The sequence below is a fragment of the Homo sapiens genome, chromosome 19 (assembly GCF_000001405.40).
Source record: "Homo sapiens chromosome 19, GRCh38.p14 Primary Assembly".
Classification (NCBI taxonomy): domain Eukaryota; kingdom Metazoa; phylum Chordata; class Mammalia; order Primates; family Hominidae; genus Homo; species Homo sapiens.
In genome coordinates, this window is record NC_000019.10 from 32,449,381 (window position 1) to 32,462,737 (window position 13,357).

General features: G+C 38.3%; 1 protein-coding gene across 15 annotated transcripts in view, besides 1 other annotated feature; it reads left to right on the forward strand.

Annotated features, from left to right (window-relative positions):
* Positions 1-13,357, forward strand: part of DPY19L3 (dpy-19 like C-mannosyltransferase 3) — an 80,121-nt gene that overhangs the window by 43,611 nt on the left and 23,153 nt on the right. For 11 of the 15 annotated variants that reach the window (XR_007066627.1, XR_007066628.1, NM_001172774.2 and 8 more), the window contains 4 exons: positions 3,765-3,896; positions 5,559-5,660; positions 8,720-8,793; positions 8,971-9,129. Coding sequence is in view for 13 of the 15 variants with exons in the window: in NM_001172774.2 (NP_001166245.1) it covers positions 3,765-3,896; positions 5,559-5,660; positions 8,720-8,793; positions 8,971-9,129 (467 nt within the window). In the remaining 2 variants the exon portion in view is untranslated. The remainder of the gene's footprint in view (positions 1-3,764; positions 3,897-5,558; positions 5,661-8,719; positions 8,794-8,970; positions 9,130-13,357) is intronic. The other 4 variants (XM_047438247.1, XM_047438253.1, XM_017026366.1 and 1 more) reach the window with 1 other exon arrangement.
* Positions 9,642-9,691: an enhancer, noted in NCBI's record as "active region_14429". NCBI's record gives its function as "activates an Ori minimal core promoter by ATAC-STARR-seq in GM12878 lymphoblastoid cells {active_cell/tissue: GM12878}" and the evidence as "EXISTENCE:reporter gene assay evidence [ECO:0000049][PMID:35858748]".

Sequence of the window (13,357 nt, forward strand, 5' to 3'; positions counted from 1 at the left end):
CAGAATCCCAGGAGGAGTTTTTGCAGAAATTGACAAGCTAATCCTGAAATTCATATGGAAACTCAGGGGACTCAGAATAGCTACAACAATCTTGAAAAAGAAGAGTAAAGTTGGAAGACTCACACTTTCCAATTACAAAACTTACTGCAAAGCTATAGTAATCAGGACAGTGTGATACTAGCAGAAGAATTGACATAAACCCATGGAATAGAATTGAGAGAGAGAAATAAACCTGCACAAGAAATGGTCAATTAATTTTCAACAAGGGTGTGAAGATAACTAAATGGAGAATTAATGGTGTTTTCAACAAATGGTGCAGGAATAACTGATACCGACATGCAAAAGAATGAAGTTGAGCCCCTTCCTCTCACTGTACACACTAACTCAAAGTGAATCACAGACCTAAGTGTAAGAGCTAAAACCAAAACTTTTAGAAGAAAACATAGTAATAACTCTTCCTGACCTTGGAGTAGCACAAACCTTAGATACAATACCAAAAGCACAAGTGACTTTTACAAAAACAGATTAATTGGACTTCATCAAAATTAAAACTGTTGTACTCAAAAGTGTGCTATTAGGAAAGTAAAAAGACAACCCATAGAACGAGAGAGAATATTTGCAATCATATATCTGATCAGGAACTCCCAGAATATATGAAGAACTCTTATAACTCTTTCAATGATAAAATAGCAAAGGATTTGGGTAGATATTTCTCCAGGTAAGATACATAAATGTCCAATAAACACAGGAAAAGATGCTCAGCGTCATTAGCTATCAGAGAAATGCAAATCAAAACCACAAGCAGATACCACTTTACACCCACTTGGATGGCTAAAATTAAAAAACAGAGACAAATGTCGCGGATGTGAAGAAATCAGAACTCTCATACATTGATGATGATGGGATTATAAGATGGTGTAGTCACTTTGAAAAACAGCATTTCCTCAGCATTTCTTGATTTTAATATAGAGTTACCATATGATTTAGCAATCCCACTCCTAGATACATACCCAAGAGAAATGAAAACATATCCATGCAAAAATGTTTGTATATGAATATTCATAGCAGTGTGATTCATAGCTACAAAGTGGAAACCACCCGAATGCCCATATCCCTTCCATAAACAGTGTAGTCCGGCTGTGCAATAAATAGTGTTCAGCAATAAAAAAGAATGTTGATACATGGTGCAACATGGATGAAACTTGAGAACACCATGCTAAGTAAGAGAAGATAGCTAAAAAGACTGCACTTTATTCCATTTCTGTGAAATGTCCAGAATATGCAAATCTGTAGAGAACAGTACATCAGTGGTTGCCGGAGCTGGGGGTAGGGGATGATGGAGAGTGATGGCTAGTGGATATGGGTTTCTTTCGAAGTGATGAGAATGTCATAAAATTAGACTGAGGTGAGAGTTGCACAACTCTATGAATATACCAAAAATCATGAAGCACACTTTAAATGGGTGAATTTGATGGTATATGAATTATATCAACTAATAAAACTGCTAAGAAGGAAAAACTCTTCCTTCTCTAACCAGTAGTTGTACTCAGGGATCTATCCCTAAGGAAATGTTTTTATTCATCAGTTCCTCCAATGTTTATTAAGTGCCGCTCTTCTAGTGTGTATTCTTTAAGGTGCTGGGGATACAGCAGTGAACAAAATATGTAACTAATCAGACAATTCGGTTAGGAATTCTGAGAATCAGACCTGAAAAAAATTTTTAAAGAGATGTTCACAATGTTAATAAAAAGCCAGAAACACCTAAATGGTCCAGTGGCAAACAAATTATGGCATATGGTGGAATGTTACATAACCATTTAAAATTTAAGTTTTCACAGAATAGTCACTGATGTGAGAAAGTGATATGGTAGGATGTGAAGGATGTAAAATCCTGTATATGAAATACTATATACTGCTGTGAAATCAATATTATTTCTTTAGGTAATGGTGCTGGGTTTTGACTCAAGAGCCCACCTATTGATTGCTATTTCTTTTTTGTGTTTTTCTGAAGTGTCTAACTCTCCTAGAGTAAGATACATTATCTTTATGATCCTAAAGATCATCAGCATCCATTTCCCTGAGTTCCCATTGACACTAAGCAAAAGCACTGAACTGCTGCAAGCCTCACTTTTCAATGCTTCTATCAATAGGTTTGTTTCCCTTGAGGTTAAGAGAACAAAACCATGGGGATAATCGGATTTGCTGCTAAATAAAACGTATTTTTCACTTGTCAGAATGAGTATGGCATTGTCTAATTTGAAAGAGAAGAAGAAAACTAACAGAATAAGTGTCCACTCTTTATTAGGGACTGCCTTTTTTTTCTTTGTGGCGTGTTTCGTGTATTCAAGTTAGTTGTGTTTTGCTTCTTTTGGTATCAACCTATCAATAAGTTTCATTACATCAAGAGTTAATCCTTAGTGCTCATTATGTGCCAGGCATTTCCTCCCCACCCACGCCTCCCCACTTTTTTTAGAGACCAGGTCTTGCTCTGTTGCCCAGGCTGGAATGGAGTGGAGCGATCATAGCTTACTGCAGCCTCAACCTCCTGGACTCAAGTGATCCTCCCACCTCAGCCTCCTGAGTAGCTGGGACTACTTGCACCACTACACCTGGCTAGTGTTTTATTTTTATAGAGACACGGTCTCGCTATGTTGCCCAGGCTGGTCTTGAACTGGGCTCAAGCAATCCTTCTGTCTCAGCTTCCCAAGATGTTGGGATTACAGGCATTAGCCACCGTGCTTGGCCACCAGGCATTTTCATCCATTACCATGTCTGGTTCTTCTGTGAGACCCTACATCAACTCTGTGAGGAAGGTATCATCATCTCTTGTTCACGATGAACCATTTAGGTCACATAGCTGGTTTGCACCAGAATCGGAACTGCAGTACAGGTGCTGTTGGTGCCGGAGCTGATGTCATTGCCCAGTGTACTGTGCTGCCTGCTATGAAGCTGTGAGGTCAAAGAGGACAAGGTCATGCAGCAGGAGGGGTTTGCAGTCTAATCAGGGGATCTGGGCACACACTCACACAGACAAAGCAAGGAATGATACAGTCCTAAAGTATAGAGTATGGAAAACTAGGAAATAACACAGTAAAGTACTTATTGGTGGTCATAAACAGTAACTGAAATCATTGAAAAGAAAACTGAAGATTATAAATGGCCCTTGCCAATTCCCAGGAATAAATACATTCTGCTGTTGTTTACTTCCTCTACTTCATATCATCCCTCTTTACTTCCCCTTTAATTAATGTTAGAAGATTTCTGTTATTAAAAGGTAAATAAACAGTTGGTATGTGTATGATTTAGTTTCCTTTTTTAGATTGTGTTTCTTTTTTTGGAGTCTCACTCTGTCGCCCAGGCTGGAGTGTAGTGGCGCATTCTCGGCTCACTGCAGCCTCTGCCTCCCAGGCTCAAGCGATTCTCCTGTCTCAGCCTCCGAAATAGCTGGGATCACAGGCACGAGCCACCACGCCTAGCTAATTTTTTTTTTTTTTTTTGTATTTTTAATAGAGATGGGGTTTCACCATGTTGGCCAGGCTGGTCTTGAACTCCTGACCTCAGGTGATCCCACCCGCCTCGGCCTCCCAGAGTGCTGAGATTACAGATGTGAGCCACCGCGCCTGGCCTAGATTGTGTTTCTTGAATCTACATGTGTTTTCTGCATTATTTGTAAGCTGAGGTGTATCCACCTCATGACCAACATGTCGACATGTGATGATCTCTTGGTAAAATGTCTGTACTCATCTAATCTTTGGTTCTTGCAGGCGACATGGCTGTATGGAATACAGATAACAAGTTTACTCCTGGTCTGCATTCTTCAGTTTTTTAATTCCATGATTCTTGGATCACTGCTTATCAGTTTTAACCTTTCAGTATTCATTGCAAGAAAACTTCAGGTAGGACTTTTTTTTTGTCCTTTATCAAAGTAAACTTTTTTTTAATTGCGTGGTTTATTGAACCTTATTTTCACACAGCATACAAAGGGAAATTTACAACCTGATTTGCACTAAAAAGAGCACGTGGCATTGTGTGCTTTTTCTTGTGCATGTGGTAGCATTTCTGTTTCAAGCTTTCTGGGTCATCCTTTTATTTTGACAGTTATTTCTTAGAGAATTGGAACCTTACCTTCAATGTGGGGATCAGCCAAAGATGCTTGGTTGAATGCCACTGATTTAAAATTGAAGTAAAAGAGAAAAGTTATTAATTTTTATGTGTGTGAACTCAGGAGCGAGAAGAGTCTCCTGCTTGTGTTGGGAGCGTGTTCATTACAGTCCTTCACGTTGGTGGATACCCTGTTATTTGATGTAGTAATGCTACTCTTTTCCCCATCCTTCCATACCATACTAGTTATTTTTAGGTGAATTAAAATTAACTGTTTTGAGAATTTTGAGAATCCAAATAAATAACTTTAGAAATAATGGGACATTTCCTAGGGTATTGTCAAATCATGTTTGAAAACAATGACTTGCTCTTTTAGCTTTATTTATATAATTAAATTTCTTATATTTACATAAGATATGAGTCATTTGTTTTTGCTTAAAATTACAACATCCTGTTTCACATATGCTAGAAACTTCCGTGTCAAGAAGCCATTTTGTTTTCCACTTTTAGAAGAAGAAATCATTTTTCTTATTAGTCTTTTGAGTGAGAATTGTTATGGACAAAGGTTTTTAGTTGACTATCAAAAACAACAGTTCACAGTCATCCTTTTAACCTTAATTATAAATATTACTCGTATTTGAACTGTTAAGATATTATTATATTTAACAATGTATAAAATTATCAAGATTATAAGAAAACTATTATATGTCAAAAGGCACAATGTACTTCTTTTTACACCCATAAGTCTTTTATGTAATTGACTTGTAACTATGCCCGTGGTGTAGGAATTAATGGATAAAAGATGTAACAGGGCCAGGCGTGGTGGCTCACACCTGTAATCCCAGCGCTTTGGGAGGCCAAGGCTGGCAGATCACGAGGTCAGGAAATTGAGACCATGCTGGCTAACATGGTGAAACCCTGTCTCTACTAAAAATACAAAAACTTAGCCGGGTGTTGTGGCAGGCGCCTGTAGTCCCAGCTACTCGGGAGGCTGAGGCAGGAGAATGGCATGAACCCAGGAGGCGGAGCTTGCAGTGAGCGGAGATTGCTCTGCTGCCCTCCAGCCTGGGCAGCAGAGTGAGACTCCGTCTCAAAAGAAAAAGAAAAAAAGAAAAAGATGTAACAGTTTGTTCAGTCAGCGTATCCTGAGTACCTTCCAAATGGCAGACCCCAATCCTCCTGTTTCTAAGGTCTGAAAAAATAATTAGGAAAAAAAAGACTAGGACACATTTCCTCATCGTATGAAGCTCATTATTAAGTGATTCATTTACTACTAGAAAATCACAAATATTAAGACAGTGTAACCTCATGAAAATGAGTAGGTTGTATTTTCCACATATATTTTCCCTTTATGTTATATGAGCCAGTGTTTTTAAATCCTTAAGTAAGCTCATCTTCAGTGTTTATGAAGTTATATTAAAACTTAAGAATTAAAACATAACTCTTTTAATTTCTAGAAAAATCTGAAAACTGGAAGCTTCCTTAATAGGCTTGGGAAACTTTTGTTACATTTATTTATGGTTTTATGTTTGACACTTTTTCTCAACAACATAATTAAGGTAAGTTAATAAAAATGACATGTTTAATGTATTTTTAATTAACTTATGGCATTGGAGATAATTTTTGAAACTTTCTTTTTCTTTTTTAATAAACTAATTGTTTTAGAGACAGGGTCTTGCCGTTTCCTAGGCTGGCCTTGAACACCTGGTCTCAGATGGCCCTCCCACCTTAGCCTCCCAAGTTGCCGGGACTACAAGTGTGCACCACCACACCTGGCTTCTTTGAAACTTTTAATTTTAAATAAATTCTTGCTTTATAAAGTGTATTAACGTGACTCAAGAGTTACCAGTTTTACTTCAAACAGGCTCAGTTTTAACTTTGTCTTAGTAGCAAGGATTATTTTGTTGATTTTAGTCATTAATTTCTATGTACTCTTATGTCCCACCTTGAACTTACTCACCTTTTGTTATGAAACTTTTAAAAGCTTAACTTAAAAAGCATTAAACAAATAATTTCTCTAAATTTAAAATTTTTATTTTTAGTACCGTAATATACACGTAGCTTTCTGTACTGTGGTACTTAAAAAAAAAAGACATGATTTTTAATTGAGTTCAGTTAATAAGTAAAGTGGCCTTACTATCTACTTTCTGCTGGAAAGAAGAGTTGAGCTCATTTTTCCCAACATTTAACTGACTTATATGCAACAGGCCTAACAGAACAACTCATTTGGTAACGTAGGCATCCATTGGTTTTATGTCCAGTAGGTGCTTTGCTAAGATTTTTACAATGCCCCAGGGGCTCTGCTTAGTTTAACATGCTTTTTAAATGTTTTTATTGGCGTTTTAATTTTTTTTCAGGGTAGGCTTTATTAAAGGTATAATTCTTGGACCTTGATATCCCATTTGTTTTTATGCTAGAGCAAAACTACATTGGTATCTTCAGATACTTTTGCCTGTCCTAGAAGGTTGGTCTCAGGATAGGAGGCATCTGCAAAACAGGCTCCTTCTCCACAAGAGAACTGTGGTCCTTGTTCACGTCTGTTGACTATCAAAGAAAAAAAAGACTCTTCACTCAGCCAGTCACTATGTCACTATGTTCTTTTTTTTTTTTTTTTTTTTTGGACAGGGTCTCTCACCCAGACTGGAATGCACTGGTGTGGTCATGGCTCACTGCAGCCTCGATCTCCTGGATTTAGGTGATCCTCCCACCTCAGCCTCCTGAGTAGCTAGGACTATGTGTGTATACCACCACACCGGCTAATTTTTGTATTTTTTGTAGAGACAAGGTTTTGCTGTGTTGCCCAGGCTGGTCTTAAACTCCTAGGCTCAAGCAGTCCACCTGCCTTGGCCTCCCAAAGGATTGTAGGCGTGAACCACCATGCCCAGCTGTCAGTATGTTCTTAAACTCCATACAGTCAAGTACTTATCAATAATTTATTTTTAAATTTCTAAATTTTTTTTGCTTTTTTTTTTTGAGACAGGATCTCACTGTGCCACCCAGGCTGGAGTACAGTGGCACGATCTTGGCTCACGGCAGTCTTGACCTCCTGGGCTCAAGCAATCCTTCCACTTCAGCCTGAGTAGCTGGGACTACAGGTGTGTGCCACCGCCCCTGGCTAATTTTCACAATTTTTGTAGAGATGGGATCTTGTCATGTTGCCCAGGCTGGTCTCAAACACCTGGGCTCAAGGTATGCTCCCACTTCAGCCTCCCACAGTGCTAGGATTACAGACACGAGCTGCTGCACTCAGCCAAAAGCTTTTTTTGAGTTGATGAATACCCCATTTATCCTGATGGAATTATTACACACTATATGCCTGTGTCAAAATATCTCATATACTCCATAAATATATACACCTATATGCCCACAAAAATTAAAAATTAAAAAGCCTATTCAAAGCCAGGTGTGGTGGCTTATGCCTGTAATCGCAGCATTTTGGGAGGCTGAGGTGGGAGGATCGCCTGAGGCTAGGAGTTCAAAACCATCCTGGGAAATGTAGCAAAATCTAAACTCTACTAAAAAAATTTTTTTCAAAACTTGAGTGGAGCAGCCAACATTTCTGGAAGAGTGGCCAAAGATACACAGTTCTTGCATTGGCCCACTCTACACATTCAGTGACCTGTTCTTGGATTAAACCAGTAAAGAGCTGCATCCCTGGACCACCATTTTTTGACTCCCCGAAGAATAACATCTGTTGAATTGCATTTGATGTTTTGCCAGTGACCTACAACAAGAGGAAGTAGAGAAAATTTTCCTTGAAAGTCCTTGCTGTTTTTGCTTTACCCATGGGAAAAAATTATTTTGAGTCTCAGTTCTAGGACTGTTAAGATCTCTTCCGAGCAACTGTTTTGTTTTACTCTTATAAACCCGTGAGTAACATAAATATGTTGACCTCCCTGTTTGCATTTGCTGCTGGAATGCAAAAGACCAGATTTGTGGCTCATCTCTAATGAATATATTGTGTGTACTGAACTCAATTTTAGCTTCATCTTTTCTCCCTGTCTTCATTTTTCTTCTAATAAATTTTTTCACCATTTATGTTATTATATATGGATTTTTAAGCCACAAATTTAAAATAGAATTATATGAGTTAAAATTGTAATCACTAATGATGAACACTCATATTTGTCTGTCCACCCCTTCAGGGTTACAACTGTCTTGAATTGTCTTTGAGTGAATAAGTCTTGGATCAATTGTATCCACAGACCAAAAGCCCCAAAGCCAGACAGGCTTTGTGGGCGGTGTATCTATTTGAGGTTTCAGATCATCGTCTTGTCAGTTTTCTGGTCTGAAAACTTATGCACACTATGCCTCAGCCTTCTCCCTCTCCCTGAAACCAAAAAATCTCATCTTTTACCTATTTTGCATATTTAACTTATGTATAAGATGTTTTTTGAATAAAGGATTATGCTAAAAAGGGGAGTGGGGTTTGGAAGGAGTTTGGAAGTCCCTGCTTTGGAATTCCTCAGTTCTGAGAACTACTGTGAACATTTACTGATTTTGTACACCCACACGCTCCTGTGAAATTGGACACTGAATATGTAAATTCAATGGGAAGTTATCAGGAAACCGTGCCTAAAGGACTAATAGCAATTTTTGTTTTCTCTTTCCCCGATAGAAAATTCTTAACCTGAAGTCAGATGAACACATATTTAAATTTCTGAAGGCAAAATTTGGGCTTGGAGCAACAAGGTATAACTGAATTGAAAGTCTATGTTTGCTATTTTCTATTGAATCAGCAGGGACTTTAAAACTTAAGTTGTCATTGTGCCTTCAACTATTAATTGCAGACTCCCTCTGAGGAAAGATGCAATGTCATTTCTTTGTCTTATATTGAATTTAATACTTTGCTTTCCATTTGTTCCCTAGGGATTTTGATGCAAATCTCTATCTGTGTGAAGAAGCTTTTGGCCTCCTGCCTTTTAATACATTTGGAAGGCTTTCAGATACTCTGCTTTTTTATGCTTACATATTCGTTCTGTCCATCACAGTGATTGTAGCATTCGTTGTTGCCTTTCATAATCTCAGGTATGGTATATTTCAGAAATCTAATGCTCTCCTTTAATGAACTTGTTCCATGTTGCAGAAAAATTGCAAAGTTGAAAGTCAGAATATCAGACACAAGTAATAGTATTCATCTTAAAGGGGGAACATACCTCGTTTAGAGTGGACTACACTCCCAGTAGTTAGGAGACAACAGAGTAATGATCAGATTGCATGCGGTCTGGGCTTAAGTCTTGGCCTGCACACTTGGGAACAAAGTGACTCTTGAGCCAGTTACATAACCTTTTGATATGTCCATTTCCTTATCTTTAGAATGGGAAGACTAAGAGTACTTACTCTACAGGATATTTGAGAAATAAGTAAAAACAACATAAAGCACTTAAAATAGTGTCTGGTGCCTAGACTTCGGCAGGTACAAGCCATCGTGAACTGGTTTCATTATCACTGTTGACTCATAAGCCTCTGTTGTGTTTCCATTATTAGCATCCTGTGTTTTTCTCCCTTCCTCCTCTAGCTGCTTTTTTGTATTGCTCTTGAAATGTAAGAGTTAATTAATTATTGCTCATTTGTTTTCTTGCATCTTGCTTCAGGGCTCATAATGTTGGAGTGGACCATAATTATTAGTATCTACTAAAAGTTTTGAGTAATAACTGCCAATTTTAAAAAACTAAGTATATCTACCAATCTACTGAAAGAAAAAAATCAGGAGTATGAAGGCTTTTTAAAAACTTGTAAGAATATCTACCCATCAAGCTGCTGGGGGGGTTTGCATTGACTCTTCGTGTTAAACTGAAAGAAAATTAAGTGTAAGAAGTTGAAGCTGCTGTCATTTGTGAAAACTTAATGAAGCTCACGAGGAAGCCCTTTTTCTGTAGTTACCTTGCCAATTAATGTGCTGGTGAACTGTGATTCACAGCCACGAGAGAGCTGTCATTAAAATGAGTCCAGAGCAGTTGAGAGGTTTTATGATCATTAAGAATGAAACAACATTGAACCATGAAAATATTTCATTGAACATAAACTATTTTACTATCCTTGAGAAGTGTTCTTTTTCATACCTAACCCAAGATAAAATTTAGCCCTGTGAAAATAGATGGAAATTATTCTGGACAGTGTGATTTAATATCATTCCAGACATAGCAAGTGTCAACAGGACTCTGGACTGCATACAAAGCAGGAAGTTCAGTGGGCCTGCAGTATCTTCCTGAAAATGTCTGCCATGCTCTGTGTGAATCTATGAGCCATCTCTGGAGGCTGATTGGGTATATGATCATAGATAAAAGATTTTAGAGCATCTTCATCTGCCAGATAGGGATATTAGGACTTTATTAGAGGAAAAGCACTACATGAAAGTAATTAAAGAATCATAGTCCAGTCATGTCACTTAACAAGGGGGATATGTTCTGAGAAATGCATATTAGGCGATTTTATCATTGTGCGAATATCATACAGTATACTTACACAAACATAGATAGTATGGCCTACTACACACCTAGGTTATGTGGTATAACCTACTGCATCTAGGCTGCAAACCTGGACAGCAAGTTACTATGTTTAATACTGTAGGCAGTTGTAACACAATGGTAAGTATTTGTGTAACTAAATATATCTAAACATAGAATAGGTACAGTAAAAATATAAAGGCCAGGTATGGTGGGCCTGTAATCCCAGTGCTTTGGGAGGTTGAGAAGGATTGCTTAAGGCTAGGAGTTCTAGACCAGCCTGGGCAACATAGCAAGACCGCATCTCTACGGAAAAAAAAAAGAAAAAGAAAAATTAGCCAGGCACGATGGTGCAAACCTGTAGTGCTAACAAGTCGGGAGGCTAAGGCGGGAGGATCACTTGAGCCCAGGCGTTTGAGGTTTCAGTGAACTATAATTGCACCATTGCACTCTACCCTGGGTAACAGAGTGAGACCCTATCTCTATTTTTAAAAAATACTGTAATAAAAGATTAAACATTGTATACCTATATAGGGCAGTTTTCATAAATGGAGCTTGCAGGACTGGAAGTTTTTCTGTGTGAGCCTGTGAGTGAATGTGAAGGCCTAGGATGTTACCATACACTATTGTAGACTTTATAAACACTGTGCACTTAGGCTACAGTAAATCTATTTAAAAAACAAAGTGATTGTGCTATGACCTTATAATGGCTATGATGTCACTAGGCAATAGGAATTTTTCAGCTCCATTATAATCTTACGAATCCACTGTGGTATGTGCGATCTGTTGTTGGCCAAAATGTTATGTGGCACGTGACTGTCTAAATGTGAATTAACTTTTAAATAAGGGCCTTTTGTCAGTGCCAAGTATTTAAAGTATTTCTACCTTTTTAGTACTAGGAAGGATGATACTATGACTTGTTTTGTTTTGTTTTGTTTTGTTTTGTTTTGTTTTGTTTTGAAATGCATCTCGCTCTTGCCTGGGCTGGAGTGCAGTGGTGCAATCTCGGCTCACTGCAACCTCTGCCTTCCGGGTTCAGGCAATTCTCCTGCCTCAGCCTCCTAAGTAGCTGGGATTACAGGCATGCACAACCACCCCTAGCTAATTTTTGTATTTTTAGTAGAAACAGGGTTTCACCATGTTGGCCAGGCTGGTGTTGAACTCCTGACCTCAAGTGATCTGCCTGCCTCAGCCTCCCAAAATGTTGGGATGACAGGCATGAGCCACTGCACCCTGCCAGATACTATGACTTTTATGTAGACATCTGCATTAGTGTGAGGGGTACATCTGAAAGGGGCATGGTGTTCCCTGCCTCAGCCTCCCAAAGTGTTGGGATGACAGGCATGAGCCACTGCACCCTGCCAGATACTATGACTTTTATGTAGACATCTGCATTAGTGTGAGGGGTACATCTGAAAGGGGCATGGTGTTCTGTGTTCATGGAATTAATCAGAGCCTTCCAGCTTGGCTGGGCTATGGGGGAGGTACTGCAGACTTCTCTTAGGTATCTAGAGAGGATAAGAGCAGATACTCCCCTTGTCTGTTTTATTTTTATTTACTTTTCACACCTTGCCCTGTTGATGGATATTCTTATTTGGAGTATCCTTTTTGTACCAATATGGAAACCAGTGTTTGGGTTGTAATATTTACTTTTAAGTAAAGATTCCAATTGTGAATTACCAATGGTGAGAACTGCCTTAGAGTATCCTTTTAATTTTCGTATGTATTTATGGTAGGAAAAAAAGGATTTCTGGGAAATAAAAAAAGTCTCTAGTTACATAGAGAAGCATCGTATGTGCCCAGTTCTATTGGGTATGTATGAAGGGATCAGTAGACCTTCATGAAAGTTTCATCTTTAACTAGTAGCCTTTACTGTTGTTTTCTTTTCCCCTCGACAACAAATTGTGCAACATCTAAAGTCACTGATCAGTCTTAACATCACTGAAGTGGAGACAGCCAGGCAGTGTGTGCTTCCCGGTGTAATGTGATGTGGAATAGAGCCGTCCTGTTTTCTGTGGAAATATGTTTCAAGTCCCTCAGTGGATGCCTGAAACCTCGGATGGTTTCACACCCTTTCTATACTATGTTTTTTTCCTATACATATATCCCTGTGATAAAGTTTAATTTATAAATTAATCATGGTAAGAGAATAACAATAATAATAAAATACAACAATTATAGCAACATGCCAGCATCACTTCTCTTGCACTTTGGGGCCTTAGTTATGTAAGATAAGGGCTGTTTGAACACAAACAATACAGGGACATTTAAATGTATCTTACTTTATTAGTAGTTTAGTAGCTGAATGTATCTGCTTGTCTGTCTCGGGTAGGTGGGTAGACTATACAGCGTGGAAACACAGGACCAAGGGATGATGATCTGAGTCTCAGGTGGGACAGACAGGGATGGAGAGATTTCATCATGCAACACAGAATAGCATGTAATTCAAAACTATGAATGGTTTATTTCTGGAATTTTCAATTTAATATTTTCGGACAGCAGTTTCCTCAATAACAAACCACTGAAAGTGAATCCACCGATAAGAGGGGACTACTGTGCATCATAACCCCGTGAAGTGTTCTTGCCAAAAAAATGAACTTGTGTCTGATAAACCTCTAGATCTAATTACAAGTTTACAAGAAGCATGAAACGTATAACCACCACTGTGAGCCACACCTGGGAGACGGGAACAGCTTCAGGACATATGTTCTCTATTCTTCCACAAACAAATGGCCTGTTTTTTAAAAAAAGGAGATACTTTTATAGATCAAAAGATATTTAAAGATATATATTAGTGAAATGCAACATGC